A 23,297-nucleotide genomic window follows, 5' to 3' on the forward strand; every position below is an offset into this window, starting at 1 on the left:
TGAATTTTGGACATTTTCAGCTATTATTTCTTGACGTACTTTTTTTGGCTATGCCTAATTTCTCCATTTCTCCTCTCCTTCTGTGACTTGATGACATAAGTGTTGTGTCTTTTGTTACAGTGCCACAGATCCTTGAGGCTCTATTTATTTATTTATTTTTCAGTCTATTCTCTCTCTGTTGTTCAGATTGGGTATGTCCTTTTTTTTTTTTTTTCTTTTTTTTTGAGACAGGTTCTCACTGTCACCCAGGCTGGAGTGCAATGGCCCAATCTCAACTCACTGCAACCTCTGCCTCCCGGGTTCAAGCGATTCTCCTGCGGCAGTCTCCTGAGTAGCTGGGATTACAGGTAGGTGCCACCATGCCCGGCTAATTTTTGTATTTTTAGTAGAGATGGGGTTTCACTATGTTGGCCAGGCTAGTCTTGAACTCCTGACCTCAGGTGATCTACCCGCCTTGGCCTCCCAGAGTGCTGGGTTTATAGGTGTGAGCCACCCTGCCCAGCCAGGTATTTCCTATTGTTCTGTCTTGAGGTTCATGGATTCTTTCCTCTGTTCCCACCATTCTGCTATTGAGCCCATATGTGAAGTTTATTTTGATCATTCTGTTTTTTTGTTCTAAAATTTTCGTTTGATTCCATGGGTGCAGTCTTTTGCTCCCCTATCAGCCACATGAGAATAGGCCTTGAGCCTGGAACACTTCCTTACCAAGGGATGGAGAGTTCTCACAGCCTGTACTAGACTTGTTACCTTGTGTGGGAATATCTGTCTTTGTTTCAGACTCAATGTGTGCTCCTTTGTTCTGCTTAAATATATGTGTCACGTGGCATCTGGGCCACACCACTAGTATATCTGTCCACTGCAGGGAGAGGATGAGATCTTTCTGCTGCAGCACAAGAGGAGTGTGTTGGCTGTTGGAGGGACCTGTTGGCCAGGGAGAACTAATGTCCACTACTGAAGCCGATCTTGCTGTGTGTCTTCTCTATGTGAGTAAAGTTATTCTACCCGGGGCTTGACTGAATTGTATTTTCCTTGGAGATCCTGGTACCAAGATGCAGTGGGCAGAAGTGCTTGGACATCTCCTCCTGACAATAGGGCCACAGATGCCACTTGCTCAACAATACTTTGTGTCTTTTTTTTTTTTTCTGAAACTTCTTCTTGCTCTTCTGAGGCCTTCTAGTTTTTTAGTTGTTTGTTTGCTATTATTTTTATTTTATTTTATTTTTTTTTTGAGACAGAATCTCAATCTGTAGTCTAGGCTGGAGTGCAATGGCGCGATCTTGGCTCACTGCAACCTCCGCCTCCCAGATTTAAGCAATTCTCCTGCCTCAGCCTCCCAAGTAGTAGCTGGGATTACAGGAGTGCGCTATCATGCGCAGCTAATTTTTGTATTTTTAGTAGAGACAGGGATTTACCATGTTGGCCAGGCTGGTCTCAATCTCCTGACCTCGGGTGATCCTTCTGCCTGGCCTCCCAAATTGCTGGGATTACAGGCGTGAGCCTCCATGCCTAGCCCTTGTTAGATAATTTAAACATGTGATTCACTTTAGTGTTTGCATCTGTTGACCTTTTCTCATTTGAAATTATCCTGGGTCTTGCTATGATGAGTAATTTTTTTATTGAAACCTGGATATTTTGGGCAGTGTTCTGAGACTCTAGATTTTTTTTTTTTTTTTTTTTTTTTGAGACAGAGCTTCACTCTGTTGCCCAGGCTGGAGTGCAATGGCACAGTCTTGGCTCACTGCAACCTCCGCCTCCGGGGTTCAAGCAATTCTCCTGCCTCAGCCTCCCAAGTAGCTGGGATTATAGGCATGTGCCACCATGCCCAGCTAATTTTTTTTGTATTCAGTAGAGATGAGGTTTTGTCATGTTGGTCAGGCTGGACTCCACCTCCTGACCTCAGCTGATCCACCCGCCTTCGCCTCCCAAAGTGCTGGGATTACAGGCATGAGCCACTGCGCCCGGCCAAGACTCTAGATCTTATTTAAATCTTGTATTTTAGCAGGCCTCCTCTGACATTGCTCTAGTGGGGGCAAAGGGGGCATTCTCTTGTTACTGCCAGGTGTGGGTGGAAGTCCAGCTTTCCCCCTCAATCTTGGTTGACAATGAGTGCAATGTCTCCTTGTTACTGCTTTGTGGGGATGGGAGTTCTCGCTCCCTACCAGGCCTAGATTGAGGCCTCCATTCACCCTAGCTGGGCAGTATAGGAGTCCCTCATTATTGTTCCCTACATTGCTCCCCCTCCACTGATACAATGGGGGGGGTGGTAGTATACCACTGGGCAGTGATGAAAGTTTTGACGACTCTGACATTAATTCAGCAGGGATGGGTACTGACCCCTCACAACTGCTGGGTGGAAGTCCAGGCTGCCTAGTGCAGTTGTGTGTGTGTGTTGGCGGGGGTGGGATGTGAGGTGCCTCATTACAGCCTGGTGAAGGTAGGAGTCCAGGCATCTTCTAGCAGTCCTAACTCTATTCTCACAACTGAAGTTTTCATAACAACTGAAAGTCCATTTATCCTTGGCTCCCTGTCTCTGCTCAAACCTAACCATATATCTATTTCTGTCATTTTTGTGTTCTGGCATCAGCTGGATAGTCTCTATGACAGTGGTAAGTATGGGAAGAACTGGTAAATTTTTTTGAACCTATGTTTGATCGTAACATTTACGTATAGTTCTATTGATAAGACTAGATAAACTATGACTCTGTTATGTGACTTTTTATTATCTGTAAAGGTTATATGGCACTAACATTATAAACACACTAAATATTCCTAAGTGCTTCAGGTTAAATATTTCGTTGTTTAAAAGAAAGTCACATTATTTTCCTATACTTAAATGGGTTCCTTCTCTAATTAGTTGATGGTACTTACATAAATATTAACATAATATTGCTACAAATTATGTACTTAGTCTGTAATCTGACTTAGCTAGATTTTATATAATTTTATAATATTGATTTATCTATACATATATTAGTCGTATTAATTTGCTAAATTCAGATTAAACTTTCCCCAGCTCCTGGTGTATTTAGAATTATGAAAAAGAATCAGTACTAAGTGATATAAGGATGAATGTTCTATTTTCTTTTTTTTTCTGAGATGGAGTCTTGCTCTGTTGCCGAGGCTGGAGTACAATGGCATGATCTTGGCTCACTGCAACCTCTGCTTCCCAGGTTCAAGCGATTCTCCTGCGTGAGCCTCCCAAGTAGCTGGGATTACAGGCATGTGCCACCATGCTTGGCTAAGTTTTGCATTTTTTTAGTAGAGATAGGGTTTCACCATGTTGGCCAGGCTGGTCTGGAGCTACTGACCTCAGGTGATCTGCCCACCTCAGCCTCCCAAAGTGCTGATATTACAGGCGTGAGCCACCGCACCCGGCTTATAAGGCCGAAGTTTAGAATAAATGAGAGATGTAGCAATACTGGGGTTATATGCCTCAAGTATAAAGTACTTAGGACTGCTTATGTGTTGGGCTTATAGTGAGGTTGTGGAGGGAGAAGGAGGAAGTGATGGGTAGAGTAATAATAAATTTAGAACCCAGATTGTGAAAGCAAGAAAAAATTTTGGAAATTCCAGCCTTCCTATTTTATTGAGATTTTTGAATCTATGTGTCTGGCACTTTACCTACCTTATGGCATCTAAAATAATGTTATAAAGTGGCTGTATTTTCTCTTTTTCACAGATGAGAGAACTGAAGCTCAAATTAGACTAACTTGTTGAAGTCTGCCTAGCTATCAAGTGGTAAAGGTAGGATCTGAACCTAGAGCTGTATGATTCCACAATTCATGCTCCTTTGGCTGCACTACTCTGCCTTCCGGTGGGGTTTTCAGATTCACTTTTCATGGAAATTTATTATAAAATCATTTATTGTATGTCCCTATTTCTCTCTCCAGTGAAATATGTAAACCTTATAGGCTCTATATCTATTTTACATACATTTGACAGATAACACACTATGTAACATGTGTATGATGTAAGGACTTATGTTACCATATGAAATTTGTCCCATGCTTGATGATAGATCCTTGTAGTTGTAATAGACATAGAGCACTGGCCTAGAGGATAGGTAATGTTCTCAAGGTCGCACAGCCTGTGTAGAGCAAGGATTCGAATCCAGGTCTGCCTCACTCCAACTCCCACCCATTGCATCCACTCCTTGCTGTTCTGCTATTACATAGTAATAGCGGGAAGAAAAGTGTTGAGGTGTGGAGAGTGGGTAGCCTTTTTTTTCTGAGACGGAGTCTCGCTCTGTCACCCAGGCTGGAGTGCAGTGGCGCGATCTCGGCTCACTGCAAGCTCCGCGCCATTCTCCTGCCTCAGCCTCCCGAGTAGCTGGGACTACAGGCGCCCACTACCACGCCCGGCTAATTTTTTGTATTTTTAGTAGAGACGGGGTTTCACCGTGGTCTCCATCTCCCGACCTCGTGATCCACCTGCCTCGGCCTCCCAAAGTGCTGGGATTACAGGCGTGAGCCAAAGCGCCTGGCTGCCTTTTTTTTTTTTTTTTTTTTTGAGACAGAGCCTCACTCTGTCCCCAGGTTGGAGTGCAGAGGTGCAATCATGGCTCACTGCAACCTCCACCTCCCGGGTTCAAGCGATTCTTCTGCCTCAGTCTCCCGAGTAGCTGGGACTACAGGCGAGCGCCACATGCTCGACTAATTTTGTTTTTTGTATTTTTAGTAGAGGTGGGGTTTCACCACATTGGCCAGGCTGCTCTCCAACTCCTGACCTCGTGATCCGCCCGCCTCGGCCTCCCTTTGCAGGCGTGAGCCACAGAGCCCGGCCGGGATTGAGTAGCCTTATAATCCTTGAAAAGGACCTGAGTCAGGAACTGCTAACTTCAGGGAGATAGTCAAATACCAGCAAAATGTCTATCTGTGCTTGTGCAAGTGTGTGTGTATGTGTGTGTGTGTGTGTGTGTGTATGAGAGAGTGTGCGAGCGAGTTACTGGGGTCAAAATTTCCTTGGCTTTAAATGTCACCATTTGTGACAAAGTTAACAATGTATTAATTTAGCCGTAGAAAAGATTTGGCCCTTTGTACACACTCATTCAAGCAAAATGGAGTATCATAAAGGGAAAGGTGTTTCAGAGGAAGTAATTAAACATGAACTATAATCTATACAAAACTACAGTTTGTTCGTCTAGTTACTAGTCTCAGGGGAACAATTTAAAACTGTGTGCAAAATCAGTTGGGATTCCCATAGCTTCCCGCTGAATACTGGTAGGAATTACTGGGTCAGCACTGAATTGTCTTCGTCATATTTTGAAATCCAAGTTTAAATATATAATTTTTATTGGTTACAGGTGGAAAACCTATTGAAAATATAAAAAACTCCGTTTATAAACAGAATCTTGTCCTTATATGTCTATCAATTTTTTCCTATCCCTGTTATAAGACATACAGCTTAGTAAATAAATTTGCCTTTTGAGAAGAGTAGTCGAAAGGCCTATTTTTTTTTCACCTATAGTAAAGATTAAAAGTCAGACTAAAGCCTTTCCCCTGCACCTGAGAGACAGAACAACAAAATGTTACTGTTGTCTAGGGGTTACAAACCTGCAGGTTTTGGGGGATAGAAAGGATTTCTTGGGCCACCAGCTGTGATGATTTAATTATGTCTTCTCTCAGGTCTGTCCACAAGCAGCCCCTACTTTTGTAAGAAGGCTCCACTGAAATCATGGCAATAGAACCCAACATTCTGCAGATCCCGCTTCACAATTTCTCATTGCTTTTTCTTGTAAGACTGTAATGAACTACTGATAAGACACAGGGTAAACACAGCACGAAAATCTGGCCCCAAAGTGCCGCCAACAGACAGACCTTTGGCGGTGGGGAGCCATGGTCGGCAAGCCAGGCCCCGCGGGCGACTCTTCATTCCCTCCGGCCTGGGGCGTATGGGCGGGGGTCAGGGGAGCCCTTCCCCCTTCACTTTCGGCGCGGGTGAGGTGATCGGGGCTGCCAGCGCAGGTCTGGCCTAGGGCGGCACCCGGACCGCGGGGCACGGGACCGGCAGCCGCTCCCCGAGCGCCCTCCTCGCGGAGGCCATTATTTCCAGCAGTGCCAAAAGTCTGAGCCTTCTTCGGAGGGCAGAGGTCGAGGGCCGTGCGCCGCCTCCCGGCTACGCGACCTGTACCAGGCCCTGTGGGGTCCCGGGACCCCTGGAGCGCGCGCGGGACGGCCGGAGCCGCGGTCTGGGCACATCCCAGAGCTCGCGGGCAGGCAAATGCCGTCCTTGGCGTCTTCGCCCGCCGCTCGCGCCCGCCGCGGGCGGTGCCGGACCTCGCCCTTCCCCACCACTCCCCTCCCCCTCCAGAGCCCGCCGCGGTTCCCGAGGTGACACGGCCCGGACCCTCCATTCTCTGCCCCAGTGTATTTAACCAGCACAACCTAACAGGAAGCTCCCTCTCGGTGACAACCCTTCCCCCGACAGACGCGCCCAGCAGCCAACCACCGGCTAGAATTGGCCTGCGTCCCGCTCCCATCTCGGTGGCGGCCTCGGTGGGCGGGGCTCGGGCAGCTAGCAAGTTAAGTGGAGCCACGGCTGACGTGAGTCAACAAAGGTCACGTGAGGCGTGCGGGCCGCGCCGATTGGTGGCGCCAGCCGGGCGGGGAGGGGGGGTCACGGCGGCGGCGTGGGGTTCGCTGTGTGACACAATTACAACAACTTTGTGCTGGTGCCGGGGAAGTTTGTGTCTCCAACGAATCCCCTCAGTGCTCCCCAGCCCCGCGCGCTCCGGCCGTTCCCGCCGTCCCCGCCTGTGGCTGCCCCCTGCCCAACCCCGCGATGTGACCCTACAGCCGAAAGCCGCCGCTGCCGACCCGGGGGCTCCGCAGCCCCTGCCGCCGCCGCCGCCGCCTTCACCGCCGCCGCGTTGGGATTTTTCGTCGCCGCCGCCCGCGGCGGAGGAGGAGGCGGCGATAAAGTTGGTGTGCTGGTCCCGCGCGCAGATTGGGGGCGTCACTGCGGGCCCCGGTCCGAGGGGGGGTGTCGGCGTTGGAGTTGTGAATTCGCTGCGTTTCCATGAAATCCTGCGGAGTGTCGCTCGCTACCGCCGCCGCTGCCGCCGCCGCTTTCGGTGATGAGGAAAAGAAAATGGCGGCGGGAAAAGCGAGCGGCGAGAGCGAGGAGGCGTCCCCCAGCCTGACAGCCGAGGAGAGGGAGGCGCTCGGCGGACTGGACAGGTACGGGCCGCCGTCACTCGCCCGGTCGGCTCCGGACGGGCAGTAGCCGCTCTCCCGGGAGGACCGAGCGCGGCTTGTCTCTGGCGGCGGCGGGGCGGGCACCTCGGTTTGGCGCTCTTCGCGCCGCCTCCGCTGGGGCCTCGGGCTCGGGCAGGGACGGGTCGGTGGCGTTCCCTGAGCGTTAACGAGTAAACTGTGTCTGTCTCCACAGCCGCCTCTTTGGGTTCGTGAGATTTCATGAAGATGGCGCCAGGACGAAGGCCCTACTGGGCAAGGTAAGGCAGCTGCGAGTCGGAGCGCGGACACCGTCTCCCTGGCCGGCGCCGCGCTCGCCCCGGGCCCCGCGGCCGGGTCTGTGCTCATTGTGGCCACGGACGATGGTCGAGGGGCTTCCGGAAACTATTTCCTGCCTCTGCTCTCCCCCCACCCCCGGGTACCCTGCTTGCTCCCTTGCGAAATCGCTCTTTTCCTCTTGTAGCTGGAGGAACAGAGACGGGATCGCTTTGGGGCCGGGCTCAACTGGGTCGACACAACTGCCTGCTATTTTACAGCTTTTTGAGGGTAGGCCGATGATCTTCGAGGTGCCTGTTTAGGGTCAAGGGATCGTGAGTGTGTTCAGATTTTCCCAAATTTCGGACTTAACTTGCCTCTACGGGTTTAAAAAAATTCTTTTCCTTCAAGCAGGCTGTTCGTGATGCCTACTGCTAACCAAATGTTTTAGGCTTTCTTGTGTCCCCGCTCCCAGAAGGGGGAAGTTTCACGGAGTTTAGGTCGGTGAAGAGTTTGCATTGGGCTGTTGACATGTATCTCGATTGCAGTGTGTGTTACCTGAAGTTAGGTGACTTGTTTACTTTTTGGGTCTTTTTGGCATAGAAATACCGTAGTTATTTGTAAACGTGTTCTCTTCCTGGAGCCTCATTTCCTGTGTGTCTGACAGGGGAGGCTGGGGAGGATTCGGGGTGTAGTCTTTTTTTATTTGTGTGGAAAGTTGTTGGCACTGTCATTTAGTTAAGTAATGGCTGCTCCTATCGGCCCAAGATGGCGGGACAGGGTGGGAGGAGAAAGTGAAGGGGGGGGTTAGGGGGAGGGTGTAGAGGTAAACATGGAAATAAATAGTAGCCGTGAATAAGCCTTTCCTTCGGAGTGTGTAGCTCAGTGGTGTTTAAAAAAAATTACCCAAGATTATTTGCATATAGAATTCTTATACCTTTCATAAGCTTGGAAGCAGCATGCATAAGCCTGGTAAATGCTTATCAACCTGTAGCACATTTAGTTATCCATCTGTAAGCTATTGAACAAAGGCTGGAGTCTCAATCTGTATGCATCAGTTTATATTTCCTGACCAAAATCTGATTGCAATGGTATTTGAATACTTTCTTCGTAATTGGGACCGTGAAAGTTGGAGTGTGTGCTATGGGTGTTGTATCCGTTAGACATTTTCTTTTCTAGCTGAAATCATAGCTTTGCATTTGACACCTAGCTTTATTGTTGCAGTTGAGACGCAAGTTTGAAATAAGTCTAACATTTTATTCTTAAGTTGATTTTTTTGTTGTTCTGAATTTTTGTCTGTAGCTTGGTTTCGCAGAGTCATCAATTCCTTTTTATCTGTAATTACACATTTGTTTTTATTTCAAAGTAATTATAAGGTGTTATATTGCATATAATCAGAAAACTAAATGGAAATAATGCTTTTCAGTAAGCCCGGCCCCTTTGACCGATACAGAAAACTTGAATTAAACTTTGACTACGTAGGTATTAATTGGCTTCATTACAATTATTGCTGTAAAAATGAACAGTGACTAGCTCTGGAAAGATTTAAGCGTCAGTAATTGTTGGTCTCCTGCCTTAAAGTTTTTTTTTTTTTTTCCAATTTGAGTATTTAAAGTATTTTATTTAAAAATATTTGACTGCTGTCAAAGTTGTCATTATAAAAGATTAAACATGATTTAAATTAAAAGAGCATTATTTTGTTTTGGAGGGATTATTGTTGGTCTAACATGGGTTAATAAAATTGCTTGCAAAGATAATTCACGTGGAAAAGTTTGGCCAAATCGATTGCTTTTGGTTATGGTGATGAAAAAATAAATGGAATCTGATGTTTTATGTTGAGAATGTGTAAAATGCTAGTTGATTTTATGTCTTAGAATGCTCATATTCATATAGATTCACTGCGAATAGTGCTTAACATTGGATTTCGGATTGTAATATTAAACCCTGCAGTTATGCACTAACGAGTTTAAATTTTAAAAAAGTAACCATTTTCAAATATTCTTGGCAAGTTGTGCATTACTTGATGTTTGAATACATCTTAAAAATGAAAAACTAGTGAAGCTTCACTATGTTTGGGGCCTTCATGATATATGGGGTAATTTGATGAACGATTAAGCAGTTTGTTAAACTAAAGAAAAAAAAATCTTCACTGCTTCAGACTCAGTGCTTGTGAGGTGTCCTACCTGCTTAGGACAAGATTCATCAGCCTTAACATTAAAATAAAACCTTCTGTAATATGTGCTTGCAACCGCATATAGTTCTTGGTTGCATCTTTGTGAGCCTGAACATACCAGTGGGGTGTGTAATGTAAAGCCTGACATTATATAACTTCGCACCCTCTGTTTGAATTGGGTTCTGAATGAAGTGAATGAGCTGGAGTCCTGCTGTAGGAAGTCTTGAATTATTTAGTTTCATCCTTCTTTTAACAGTCCTCGAAGCAGTATTTTTTTGTTTTTTATTTTTATTTTTTGTGGAATGTTGAGCTATGTTGGTTTCAGAATTCTTATTCCCTGAAAGTCTTAAGAGTTGGCTTTCCTTTACTGGGCAGGTTTAGGCTACTTACCTGAGGGCAGATAATGGAATTGAATAACTCCCAGAATTCCCTTTTTAGCTTTGATTTTTGTCCTGCCATGCCCCCCCACCCCCAACCCCCCGGCCCCAATTTAGTCTGCACTTTGTATAACGTTTTCCTTTCTGGCAGAAATTTAGCTATTACTACTTGTTTTCAAAAATTCTTATTCCTATGTATATTATTGGATTTTCTTTCAAGTTTTTAAAATTCACATTTGTATGTTAAAAAAAACTCTTGACCTAAAAGCTTTAGAAAGTTGAAAGCATTAAATATGTCTCTTACTTGTCCCTTAACATATGTACGTATACATATATACACACGTGTACATATACATATATACACACGTATACATATACGTATACACACATATACATATACGCATATACACACGTATACGTATATACGCACGTATATGAATACGTATATACACGTATACGCATACGTATATACACACGTATACGTGTATACATATATACATGTATATACATACGTATGTATATGCGTATACACATATATGTATATATATGCATATGCGTATGTATACGTATGTACATATCTATATGTGTATTCCTTTTCCAGGTGTGCAGTTTATTCAAACCACTGATTTCTCATCGTCTCCCGAATGTTTTTGTCAGATTCAGTTATATTAGAGTCATTGAAAGAATTTTTTGTTTGTAGGATGGCCATTTGATATACAATGCCTGGGGTTTTGGATTAAAAAAATAAGGTAGTTAATACAATGTATTATTTTTTGGTAATGTCTTTAAGGTTGTAAACAGCTAGAGCCTGCGTAATTAGAGTTCTTGTGATATAGGGTGATCTTGAACAGTGCTCTTGAATGCTGACCCTTAATCTTCTGGTAATGTAATAATTCAAGATTCTTATTTTTAAAATTTCAGTGGAGTTATCGAAAACTAAGCAAAATATTTTAACAGAAATTAACTTGTGACTTTTTTAGTACATTTTTGAAAACCTTTTGGGTTTTTTTTTTTTTAAGTAGGGTAAGGATTTGAGTTAAAGTAGAATATATACGAATATATACCATAAATGTAGTAAGTTTAAATATAGTAGTACTACCAAGTATAGTTATAGTAATAATGCTAGGGGACTGGGGAATCTTATCTGCGTCAGGGAACTATTGCTAAAATACACAGTTTTGAACAAAGTATCTTATTTTTAAGTTTTTCTTAAATACTCTTATTGGAAATTTTTTTGGTAATTCTATTAGTAGAAAGATTATACAAAATACTTAGAAGTTATAGATTGTATATCACTTAAAAATGTATGTGCTTTTTTCCGTAGGACATATTAGCATTAAAACAGTTGGTGTTTTAAATTTTTTTGATAATAGAAGTAGTTTAAGATCCATTGAAACATATTTTCTTAAATTTGGTTTGCTGGCGTGTTTGGTAGGGGAAATTATTAGGTCAGTTCTAGAGGTGGCTTTTTTAAATTGTAATATTTGGATGTTGATTAAAAACATTCTCATTTATGTGTGTTTTTTGTTTGCTGGCACTTAAAGGCATACAGGTTGAGTATCCTTTATCCAAAATGCTTGGAACCAGATGTGTTTTGGATTTGGGATTTTTTTGGGTTTCAGAATATTTGCAGAATACATACCAGTTGAGCATCCCTAATCTGAAAATCTGAATTCCAAAATGCTCCAATGAGCATTTCCTTTGAGTGTCATGTTGGTACCCAAAAAGTTTTAGATTTTGGATTTTCAGATTAGGGATGCTCAACCTGTAAATTCATTTCCAGTGCTAAAGATGGCTAGTGTTTTGGTTAGAAAAGTCATGAGAGCCTGTCTCAAAAAACAAAAACAAACAAAAAAAGAAAGTAGCCATGGAAATAATGTCATGCTTTGTGTTTTAAAGAGTTTTCTAGTTTGGAAGATTGTCTTCTGAACACTTGCAGTCTTAATTTTTTACGTGGACAAAGTCTTATATACTTGGTATTTCCTAAAGTTTTGATTTGTGCCTGGTAATAAAGATATACTAAGATTATAGAACATATTTGCATATTTGGTCACAAATTAGAACTGCAGCAATACATAAACAGGCACTTTTAAAGTTCTGGTTTTCTTTTTCAGTAAATAGTTCTTTCTGTCGAATCAATTACAAATTGAAATAACTAGAGAGCATTTGACTGCCACCTCTAGATACTTTTTGTTTTTTTTTTTAATTTGAGACAGTCTCACACTATCCCCCAGGCTGGAGTGCAGTAGAGTGATCTCGGCTCACTGCAACCTCGGTCTTCCAGGTTCAAGTGATTCTTATGCCTCAGCCTCTTGCGTAGCTGGGATTACAGGTGCCTGCCACCACACCCGGCTAATTTTTGTGTTTTTATTAGAGGTGGGGTTTCACCGTGTTGGCCAGACTGGTCTCAAACTCCTGACCTCACGTGATCAGCCCACCATGGCCTCCTAAAGTGCTGGCTTTGCAGGTGTGAGCCGCCGCACCTGGCCAATATCTTAAGCTGTTAAGAAAAACTGCCTGAGAGATGAATTTTTGTGACTTAGGTGAAGTGATAGGTCATGCACTTTAAACCAAAATGAAAGTTCATTGCTTGGCTAGCTGCAGAGTAAGTCTTTTTCTGACTTAAATTATGTAACATTTAGTTTTTGTTTACATAGTACCAATATTCTGCATCTTTGAAAGGATTTCTGTTAAGTTTATTTTTACTTTGAAATTCATTGTGATGCGTTGAACTCTTTGAAATTGATGTTAATGACTGCTAACACTGCATTATTAATAATATTTTTGAAATGTGTTATCTAGAGAGCTAATTTATGTTAAGAAAACACTACCAGCTTGTCTAAGAATTGAAATGGTGGTTAGGCTGTTTAGGACTCACATGTATTATTTGTAGATTAGTTAATTAATAAAGTTTATTTAATGAATGCATAATTGACAGTCTTAAGTACTCATATTGAAACTTCACATATAATTTTATCAGTTTTCCACATTGGTTTGTAAATTATCGTGACAGTAAATTAAAACAGTATATTAATGTACACTATGTGCAAGCCTTCTATGTAGATAGTATGAAGATAGCATAGATATTTCTTGCCCGTGTTGAACTTAAATTCTTTAAGAGGGGTGAGATAAGTTTAAGGGTGACTAACACAGGACCATCTTTGGGAGAAGAAAAATGTGAAATATTCTGAAAGTTTATGAGAAAGGTAAATTTAACAATTCACAAGTTAGAATGGCTCTTAAAGATGGGGATTGTTTGTTGATTGTGTTTCTTGGAGATGGTATTTCTTGATTTAGATGTTAGCAAGGCATCTTATAATTTTGTTTAGGAAAACATGATTTAAAAATCACATTTTAAGGCTGGGTGTGGTGGCTCACACCTGTAGTCCCAGCACTTTGGGAGGCTGAGGTGGGCGGATCACTTGAGGTCAGGAGTTTGAGACCAGCCTGACCAATATGGTGAAACCACGTCTCTACTAAAAATATAAAAATTAGCCGGGCGTGGTGGCGTGCACCTGTAGTCCCAGCTACTTGGGAGGCTGAGACAGGAGAATTGCTTGAACCTGGGAGGCAGAGGTTGCAGTGAGCTGAGATGGTGCCACTGCACTCCAGCCTGGGCGACAGAGCGAGACTTCATCTCAAAAAAAAAAAAAAAAAATCACATTTTAGCTTTTAGCAGATGTTCAAAGGATGATCTGCTGTGTGTTCTGTCCTTCTTTGATTTCATTTTGTAGTAATATTTACCTTGTTATGAGTTCTTAACTTGAGATTCTTAAATGAGTGTTCATGGGTCAATTTAAATTCTCTGACAGAGTTTGGAAGGACACTCAGGATGACTTAATGGTCATCTTGGAGTACAAGACACTTTTGGGGTGAGAAGGAGGGGAGATTTTAAACTGTTTTATAGATTTCTGTACTGCTTTTTTTTTTTTTTTTAACACCGTAGACATATATTACCTTAAAAATAATACAATAAGGCCAGGCGTGGTGGCTCGTGCCTGTAATCCCAGCACTTTGGGAGACTGAGGCGGATGGATCAACTGAGGTCAGGAGTTCGAGACCAGCCTGGCCAAAGTGGCAAAACCTCATCTCCACTAAAAACACAAAAAATTAGCCAGGCGTGGTGGTGGGCGCCTGTAATCCCAGCTACTTGGGAGGCTGAGGCAGGAGAATTGTTTGAACCAAGGAGGCGGAGGTTGCAGTGAGCCGAGATCGCGCCACTGCACTCCAGCCTGGGCAACAGAGCATGTCTCCATCTCAAACAAACAAACAAAAAAAAGTACTCTGATAGTACACCAGAATGTTATATTTTGGTTGACTAAAAATGGGTTTAAACTACCATGTCTATAGTTAGAAGAGATACTTGTAAAGGCCTTTCTTGCATTTTAATTACAGTCTGAAGTTGGGATACTTTTGAACTTGATGTTCCTTCAGTGAGGGTAGGAGTGAATGGAGTAGAGATGTACCCAATTAGGTCCTATTTCTTTGTGTTTTAGATGGCTTTGTGACAGTCACTGCGCTCATTCTTCATTTTGATCTTTAGCATTTCATTGCTGACTTTATTTTGAGTCTGATTTGGCACAGGCTGATACTTGGGACCTGATTAAGAACTGTAACCTGGGCCGGGCGCGGTGGCGCATGCCTGTAATCCCAGCACTTTGGGAGGCCGAGGCGGGCATCACGAGGTCAGGAGCTCGAGACCAGCCTGGCTAACATGGTGAAACCCCGTCTCTACTAAAAATACAAAAATTATCTGGGTGTGATGGCGCGTACCTGTAATCCCAGCTACTCGAGAGGCTGAGGCAGGAGAATATTGCTTGAACCCAGGAGATGGAGATTGCAGTGAGCCGAGATCGTGCCACTGAACTCCAGCCTGGCGACAGAGCAAGACACCATCTCAAAAACAAAAAACAACAAAAAAACTGTCACCTGGAAGGGTGGGAGTAATCCCTTGTTAGACAGTTTTAGGTTTCTGAGCTAATTTGTAGACTGCTTGCAACTTTCTTCTATAAGCTTTTATTATTTTTTCTCTTACCTATTTCTTCCTTATATTCCATCATTTGTTTACTTCTGTATATTATTAAAACTGTTGGTGGTGTTCCATTGTGAATGTATTCTTGTATGCTTTTTGTAATTTTCTCTGTGGTACTATTTTGTCTTTTTTTTTTTTTTGAGATGGCATTTCACTTTTGTTGCCCAGGCTGCAGTGCAATGTCGCAATCTCGACTCACTGCAACCTCCGTCTCCAGGGTTCGAGCGATTCTCCTTCCTCAGCCTCCTGAGTAGCTGACATTACAGGTGTGCACCACCACGCCTAGCTAATTTTTGTATTATTAGTAGAGATGGGGTTTCACTGTGTTCGCCAGGCTGGTCTCCAACTCCTGACCTCAGTTGATCCCCCCGCGTCGGCCTCCTGAAGTGCTGGGATTACAAGCGTGAGCCACCATGCCTGGCTGAGTATTTTGCCTTTGTTAGAATAAATAGAAGATGCTGCTGCTAAGTTTATTCTCAGGAAGAAAGTTGGGGTTATACTTAAGGGTATTATATAAGGTCATCTAATTCATTTTAGTTTAGAACAGTGGAAGAAATTGTTTTAGACAAAGGGTTATTTTTAAACTACAAATTTATTACGTGTTCATTAGATTTTTCTCTCTTTTTGAAAAAAAAGTTTATTAGGAAAAATTTTCAGTGTTTTCAGAAAGTATTGCAAATCAACCATCACCCAGCTTTAATAGTTTGCAACTCATGACCAGTCCTGTTTCATCTATATATATTTTGCCCCTCACTCATGTTATTTTGAAGCACATCTCAGCAATCAGTCACAGCATTTAATCCATAGATGTTTGTTTCTGAAACATAACCGTGATGCCCTTATTACATGTAAAATAATTTCTTAATCTCAAATATCTGTGGACCTTGTTTTTTGCTGTATGGAAGTTAAGAAATAATTGCTTGGAAAATGAGTAGAAAACATGTTTAGCTGAGTATGTGATGTGAATTTTGTTTGTATTTTGATACTGCTATAGTGTTCTGTGATAGAATATTACATAATATGTGACACAAGAGGTAATTTTTCCTGAGAACTTTATGAATCATAGTTGCTTGAGTCTGGATAGTTTTTATTTTTAGGGAAAATTTGTTTTCAAGATACAGTAGTTAAATAAATATTTTAGGTTTCTGAATTTCAAATATCAGAATGAGAACTACAAAAGCTTTTGCTTTGCTTGATTGATTGGTGAAACATTTGTTGAGCTGCTGTGGGTGAGGGATTGTGTCAGGTTCTGGGGCAACCAATAAGACCTGGCCTCTGTCCTGCAGTCAGTCTGTTGGGAGAGGCTGACAGACTGAGTGATCATATGATGTATTAAGTGTAATAATAAAGATACATGCAAAGTGCTGTGAGCTCTGAAATGATGGAGTAATTAAAACATTTAAAACTTTTTATTATGCATCATTTAAAGTATGTACAGGTATTGAAGGTAGTTTAATGAACTCCTGTTTTCAACGGTTCTCCACATTTTGGAGCAGTTAAGTTTTTTTTTTTTTTTGAGGCAGGGTCTCACTATGTCAGCTGTCACCCAGGCTGAGTGCAGCGATGCTATCTCGGCTCACTGCAACCTCTGCCTCCCAGGCTCAAGCAATTCTCCTGTCTCAGCCTCTTGAGTAGCTGGGACTATAAGCGTGAACCACCAAGCCTGGCTACTTTTTTGTATTTTTTTGTAGAGACAGGGTTTCATTATGTTGCCCAGACTGGTCTCTAACTCCTGGGCTCAAGGTATCTGCCCGTGTCAGCCTCCATAGGTCCTGGGATTACAGGTGTGAGCCACTGTGCTGGCTGGAGCAGTTAGTTTGTTTTTTGAGACAGAGTCTCGCTCTGTCGTCCAGGCTGGAGTGCAGTGGTGTGATCTTGGCTCACTGCAACCTCCACCTCCCAGGTTCAAGTGATCCTCCTGCTTCAGCCTCCCGAATAGCTAGGATTACAAGCGTGCGCCACCATGCCTAGCTAATTTTTTTGATTTTTAGTAGAGATGGGGTTTCACCATGTTGGCCAGGCTGGTCTTGAACTCTTGGCCTCAAGTGATCCTCCCGTCTTTGTCTCCCAAAGTTCTGGGATTACAAGCGTGAGCCACCCCGCCTGGCCTGGAGCAGTTAGTTTTGACTGGAGAAGTGACTGAGGGAAACTGCACAAAGATTCAGCATTTAGCCTTGGTTATGAAACATGTAGAAATTTACCAGACATGTAGATGTAGCAAGAGGAAAAAGAGGGTAAAGAGTTAGAAGTATAAACTGAGCGTGGAGGCTCACGCCTGTTGTAATCCCAGCACTTTGGGAGGCCGAGGCTGGTGGATCACCTGAGGTCGGGAGTTCGAGACCAGCCTGACCAACATGGATAAACCCCATCTCTACTAAAAATACAAAATTAACCGGGTGTGGTGGCGCATGCCTGTAATTCCAGCTACTTGGGAGGCTGAGGCAGGAGAATAGCTTGAACCCGGGAGGTGGAGGTTGTGGTGAGCCGAGATTGCACCACTGCACTCCAGCTTGGGCAACAAGAGTGAAACTCTATCTCAAAAAAAAAAAAAAAAAAAAAAAAAAGAGTTAGAGGTATAAAGTTAAATGGTGTTTGAGGAATTGTGAATAGTCAGGTATGGGTAGAGGGTAGCATGTTTCAGTGGGATTGGGAAAAGATAACTGAACATGTGAGAAGCCCCATCACTATAGGCCGTAGGATGTTTTGGGGCATTGTTAAACTGAACTCTCTAATCAGGTGAAGTGACATGACCAGAAGTAGGTTTTATGGGAATATTACTGGCCACTGTGAGAAGGATATGGTGTAAGGGAAAGGAACTTCAGTACCGATGGGTAGATAGCAATGCATGAATTTTAGGATAGAATTCTGTTCCTACCACTTACTAGATGTGTGATCCTTGGGCAAGCAAGCATCTTTCAGAGCCTCAGTTTTCTTATCTGTAAAGTAGAAGTAGTAATACATTTCCCGCAGACTATTGCATTTTGTGTTAGGGGAAAAAATGTAAAGTGTGTGGCATTGGGCTTGGTGCATGAAAGGTGCTCAGTATAAGATAATATCTTGGATAATGGTAACGTCTTGGAAGAGACGAGTTTAAACTAAGGCTGTGGTTTAGGAATGGGGTGAGATGGAGGCAGACTTAAGAGCTCTTGAAAAAGGCCTTTTCTTGGCTTTCATAACATCCTTGCTACTTTGACTTTGTATCTGACAACATCTCAGTCTTTGCAAGGATGCTGTGTTTTAGGTCCTCTTTACTCACCCTGTTCCCAATTTACATACATGTTTGACTGCCTACTTGACTACCTTGGTATCTTGAAGGTATCTCAAACTGAACATATGCAAACTGAATTTATAATTGTCTTTAATATTCCTTGTCTTAGTAAATGTCACTTACCACTACCCATGCCAGAAACCTTGGAATAGTTGTTGACATCTCTTTTTCTCAATTCCTAATCACCCGACCTCATCATTTCTATTTTTTTTTTTTTTTTGAGACAAAGTCTCACTTTGTTACCCATGCTGAGTGCATTGGCATGATCACTGCTCACTACAGCCTGACCTCCCAGGCTCAAGTGGATCCTCCCACTCCAGCTACGTGGGACTATAGGCATGTGCCAGCACGTGCAGCTAATTTTTTTTTTTTTTTGTAGAGATGAGGTCCTTCTTTGTTGCCCAGGCTGGTCTTGAACTCTGGAACACAAGTGATCTTCTGGCCTTGGCCTCCAAAGTGCTGGGATTACAGGCATGAGCCGTTGTGCCTGGCCTACATTTCAAATCTCAAATCCGTTTCCCTCCATCCCCACTGCCCCCATCCTAATTGCAGCCATGATATTGTCTTTGACTTTTGAAATACCTTCATGCAATTTTTTGAATATAGGTATACTTGCACATAGTACAAAATTGAAAAGTGACAGAAAGGATGGTACAGTGAAAATCACCCTCTGTGCTTGCTTTGGCAGTACATATACTAAAATTGGAACAATACAGAGAAGAGTAGTATAGCCAAATATTAAAAAAAAAAAATTCTGGCTGGGCGTGGTGGCTCACGCCTGTGATCCCAGCACTTTCAGGGGCCAAGGCGGGCAGATCACATGGTCAGGAGTTCGAGACCAGCCTGGCCAACATAGTGAAACCCCGTCTCTACTAAAAATACAAAAAAAATTAGCCGGGCATGGTGGCGGGCGCCTGTAGTCCTGGCTACTTGGGAGGCTGAGGCAGGAGAATCGCTTGAACCCAGAGGCAGAGTTGCAGTGAGCTGAGATCACACCACTGCATTCCAGCCTGGGTGACAGAGTCAGACTCTGTCTCAAAAAAAAAATTCCTACGTCATCTCTCACTTACTTAGTTCTTTTTTTCAGAGGCAGCCACTGATAAAAGTTTATTGGGTAGCTTTTCACTTTTAAGCATATTCTGTTAGATATTTTTATCACACAAATGAGATCATATTGTATATTGTTAAAATGCTTTGTTAATTTTACCTCTTGCTATATGAAAATACTGGTAGTTTTTTTTTTTAGATGGAGTCTTGCTCTGTTGCCCAGGGTGGAGTGCAGTGGTGCAATCTTGGCTCACTGCAGCCTTCATCTCCCGGGTTCAAGCGATTCTTCTGCCTCAGCCTCCCGAGTAGCTGAGATTACAGGAATGCGCCACCCTGCCCGGCTAATTTTTTTAGTAGAGACGGTTTCACTGTATTGGTCAGGCTGGTCTCGAACCCCTGACCTTGTGATCCGCCCGCCTTGGCCCCCCAAAGTGCTGGGATTACAGGCGTGAGCCACTGCACCTGACCTACTGTGAGCTCTTGATTGGAAGAATTGGCAAATTTTGCCTTCATATTTTGGTTTTATTGCTCTGACTGATTACCAGGCCCCATGAATATTAATTCATTCCGTGAATGTGTATAGAAGTAGCCATAGTTATACTACTTACTATCTTTTTTTTTTTTTTTTGAGACAGAGTCTTGCTCTGTTGCCTAGACTGGAGTGCAGTGGCAGGATCTCGGCTCACTGCAAATTCTGCCTCCCGGGTTCAAGCGATTCTCTTGCCTCAGCCTCCCAAGTAGCTGGGATTACAGGCACCTACCACCACGCCCTGCTGATTTTGTGTATTTTTAGTAGAGACAGGGTTTCACCATGTTGGCCAGGCTGGTCTTGAACTCCTGACCTCAGTTGATCCACCCGCCTCTGCCTCCCAAAGTGCTGAGATTACAGGCATGAGACACCGCGCCCGGCCTACTTACTATCTTGTATTTGTAAGATTCATTTATTTTCATTATTTCTTCTTGGTTTTTATTATAGAAAAGAGAAAATAGGTAAATTTGGGTTCTTGATTAGTTCAAAAAAGTATAGCCTTTAGTTTGTTAACTTATAGATGAATATCTTTTTTTTTTTTTTTTGTAGGCAGGGTCTCACTGTCCTCCAGGCTGCAGTGTAGTAGTGCAACCTTGGCTCACTGCAGCCTCCGCCTCCCAGGTTCAGCCTCAGCCTCCCGAGTAGCTGGGACTACAGGTGCATGCCACCACTCCTGGTTTTTGTATTTTTTGGTAGAGATGGGGTTTTATCATGTCGGCCAGGCTGGTCTCAAACTCCTAACCTCAAGTGATCCACCTGCCTCGGCCTCTGAAAGTTCTGGGATTGCAGACAAGAGTCACCATGCCCAGCCCAGAATATGTTTATTTTTGTTATAAAGATGAAAAATTTGGTGATAGAGCTAGGACAGTAGTGCTTTTTTGGAGTCATTTACCCCTTGAGTGTCAGTAACCCTTTAGCTACAAACATTTTATATATGATTTCAGAGAGTATAGGGAATCTTCCTTGAAGCTCAACTATGGATATTAGTTCAATATTTTCAGCTAGTTTAGTTTACTAATTCTTGGGTAGAGGTGTAAATGATGTGAGTATGTCAGGGAGAAAGAAAAGCTTTAGAACTACTGGCTTGGTTAGACTAAAATGGCATGGATTTTGCCACATAGTTTTGTGGTGTTCCGTGGCCACATCACATATTCTCTCAAAATCTCTATTAATAATAAGGATGCTAGGGGAAGACAATTTGGATTGATCCTGGAGAACCTATGGCTTTAACTGGAAAAATATCCTAAGCACAGTCGCCATTAACATAGTTAATAGGCTTTAGTATTGTTTCTTCAGCCTGAGTGCTCAAAATGCTGGTTTGCTTGGGAGGGTAAGTGTTATACCTAGGAAGAACAATAGATTGGAAAACTGAAGACCTGAGGCCAAGAGTTCAGGACCAGACTGAGCAATATAGAGTGACCCCTGGTCTCTAGAAATTTTTAAATTTAGATTAGCTGGGCATGGTGGCATTCGTTTGTAGTTCCAGCTACATGGGAAAACCGCTCGAGCCCAGGAATTTAAGGCTGTGGTGAGCTGTGATTGTGCCAGTGCACTCCAGCCTGGGCAACACAGTGAGACTCCGTCTCTTTAAAAAACAAACAAACAAACAAAAAACTGGCAGAGGGCAGTGGCTCACCCCTGTAATCCCAGCACTTTGGGAGGCTGAGGCGGGTGGATCATGAGGTTGGGAGTTCAAGACCAGCCTGGCCAAGATGGTGAAACCTCGTCTCTACTAAAAATACAAAAATTAACCGGGCGTGGTGGCGGGCACCTGTAATCCCAGCTACTCGGGAGGCTGAGGCAGAGAATTGCTTGAACCCGGGAGGTGGAGGTTGGCGGTGAGCCGAGATCCTGCCACTGCACTCCAGCCTAGGCGACAGAGCGAGACTCCCTCTCAAAAAAGAAAAGAGAACTGGAGACCTGAGTTTTAGGACCTGCTGTGTATTTCAATCACTTAATTTTTATGTTTCACCAGTTTTGCCGTTTCTTAAAATGAAGGGCTAGGAATTAGGAATTTCCAAAATGACTGTATAGCACCACAATTTTGTAGCTAGTTTTTCATTTGTATTTTTAGGGTTGACTCAGTTCTTGAAGATTTTGACCTAGAAGGAGGGCACAATTAAACTTTGTTTTAGATTATAATTTTCTTTGATTTTAGCCTCAAGCTTTTAAGACCAGAAACTGAATGAATGCACATAATGAAATTGAGATTTGTATGCTTTTGTTAATCTAGGTTGCATGTTTTTGTTAATATAAGATTAACCATTTAGTTAGTTTTAGACTGGTTTGAAAGTATTTCTTTAGTGTTTTGACTTCCCCAAACCACTTCTTTCTTACAGTTGGGATTGTTATTTCTTAGGTCAGATCTGATGTTTAAAATTCTAGGCATAATCACTGTATATTCCTGCTTGCTAGAACTCATGTGATGGCAAAGTTAAGTGAATTCTCAGGTATGAATTGATAAGAAATATCACATTGAATAAATATATATTAGGTACTGGGCATGTAGATATTACAAAGATGAGTAAGGATCCTTAGTTTGCCTAAGAGTAGCAAGAGTCGCTTGGCATCAGCTGAGACACTTTCTGATCTATTGAAAGTAAGCATTTATTTATTTATTTATTTATGATGGAGTCTTGCTCTGTTGCCCAGGCTGGAGTGCAGTGGCACAATCTTGGCTCACTACAACCTCTGCCTCCCGGATTCAAGCGATTCTCTCACTTCAGCCTCCCAGGTAGCTGGAATTCCAGGTGCTGGACACATGCCTGGCTAATTTTTGTAATTTTAGTAGAGACAGGGTTTCGCCACGTTGGCCAGGCTGGTCTTGAACTCCTGACCTCAGGTGATCCACTTACCTTGGCCTCCCAAAGTACTGGAATTGCAGGTGTGAGCTACCGCACCCTGCCAAAAGTAAGCTTTTGTTGGATTTTGCTGTGTGAGTGTGTCTGTGTGCATATGATTATACTTTTATTATAAATCTATCAGTTAAAAAGATAGATTTGGAGTTTGTAAGTTAGATTCAGAGTATAACTCATAACTCTTAAGGAAACACTTAAAAAAAATTTTTTTTTAAAATCGGCTTTTCAAAGATGACAAATGGATAGAAAAAATTAAGCAAGTCTTCTGTCCTTGAGGTTGCCCAGGTTTGTGCATTGACCCTATTGGCCAGGATGTTGTAAACAGCATTCAGACATTCAGAGGATAACTTTTAATAGGCTATATAGGTTATCTAATCCTTAAATAGTCATGATTCTATGAAAAGAGGTGAGTCCTATCTGAAGGAAAGTTGGAGTCCTTAACAATCTAACGTAAGTTTTTTGGCTCTTTGTCTTGTTGGACTTGGTTGTCCTTACTTACAGAAATGGACATCACATGACAGATTGGATATCATGCATATATTTCTGTAAATGGCAACACTTATGT

The 23,297-nt window shown here is 42.8% G+C and overlaps 1 protein-coding gene and 1 long non-coding RNA gene across 25 annotated transcripts in view, besides 6 other annotated features; both read left to right on the plus strand.

Annotated features, from left to right (window-relative positions):
- Positions 1 to 328: 328 nt before the first annotated feature.
- On the plus strand, positions 329 to 3,769 carry LOC105373190 (uncharacterized). The gene is made up of 3 exons (XR_949040.2): positions 329 to 347; positions 863 to 983; positions 3,680 to 3,769. It is a non-coding gene; the product is annotated as an uncharacterized LOC105373190 (long non-coding RNA).
- Positions 5,844 to 6,343: a silencer, noted in NCBI's record as "silent region_20783". NCBI's record gives its function as "represses an Ori minimal core promoter by ATAC-STARR-seq in GM12878 lymphoblastoid cells {active_cell/tissue: GM12878}" and the evidence as "EXISTENCE:reporter gene assay evidence [ECO:0000049][PMID:35858748]".
- Positions 6,594 to 6,823: a silencer, noted in NCBI's record as "silent region_20784". NCBI's record gives its function as "represses an Ori minimal core promoter by ATAC-STARR-seq in GM12878 lymphoblastoid cells {active_cell/tissue: GM12878}" and the evidence as "EXISTENCE:reporter gene assay evidence [ECO:0000049][PMID:35858748]".
- Positions 6,654 to 23,297, plus strand: part of KDM6A (lysine demethylase 6A) — a 239,592-nt gene continuing 222,948 nt past the window's right edge. For 22 of the 24 annotated variants that reach the window (NR_111960.2, XR_007068200.1, NM_001419809.1 and 19 more), the window contains exons 1-2: positions 6,654 to 7,178; positions 7,390 to 7,453. Coding sequence is in view for 19 of the 24 variants with exons in the window: in NM_001419809.1 (NP_001406738.1) it covers positions 7,018 to 7,178; positions 7,390 to 7,453 (225 nt within the window). In the remaining 5 variants the exon portion in view is untranslated. Of the gene's footprint in view, positions 7,179 to 7,389; positions 7,454 to 7,641; positions 7,740 to 23,297 lie in introns of those variants that run through there. The other 2 variants (XM_024452439.2, XM_047442429.1) reach the window with 1 other exon arrangement.
- Positions 7,164 to 7,423: a silencer, noted in NCBI's record as "silent region_20785". NCBI's record gives its function as "represses an Ori minimal core promoter by ATAC-STARR-seq in GM12878 lymphoblastoid cells {active_cell/tissue: GM12878}" and the evidence as "EXISTENCE:reporter gene assay evidence [ECO:0000049][PMID:35858748]".
- Positions 7,464 to 7,543: a silencer, noted in NCBI's record as "silent region_20786". NCBI's record gives its function as "represses an Ori minimal core promoter by ATAC-STARR-seq in GM12878 lymphoblastoid cells {active_cell/tissue: GM12878}" and the evidence as "EXISTENCE:reporter gene assay evidence [ECO:0000049][PMID:35858748]".
- Positions 7,554 to 7,653: a silencer, noted in NCBI's record as "silent region_20787". NCBI's record gives its function as "represses an Ori minimal core promoter by ATAC-STARR-seq in GM12878 lymphoblastoid cells {active_cell/tissue: GM12878}" and the evidence as "EXISTENCE:reporter gene assay evidence [ECO:0000049][PMID:35858748]".
- Positions 12,436 to 12,577: a silencer, noted in NCBI's record as "fragment chrX:44738216-44738357 (GRCh37/hg19 assembly coordinates)". NCBI's record gives its function as "represses an EF-1alpha promoter that drives an FKBP-Casp9 reporter gene in an ReSE screen in K562 erythroleukemia cells {active_cell/tissue: K562}" and the evidence as "EXISTENCE:reporter gene assay evidence [ECO:0000049][PMID:32094911]".

This window comes from Homo sapiens, chromosome X, assembly GCF_000001405.40.
Source record: "Homo sapiens chromosome X, GRCh38.p14 Primary Assembly".
NCBI lineage: Eukaryota > Metazoa > Chordata > Mammalia > Primates > Hominidae > Homo > Homo sapiens.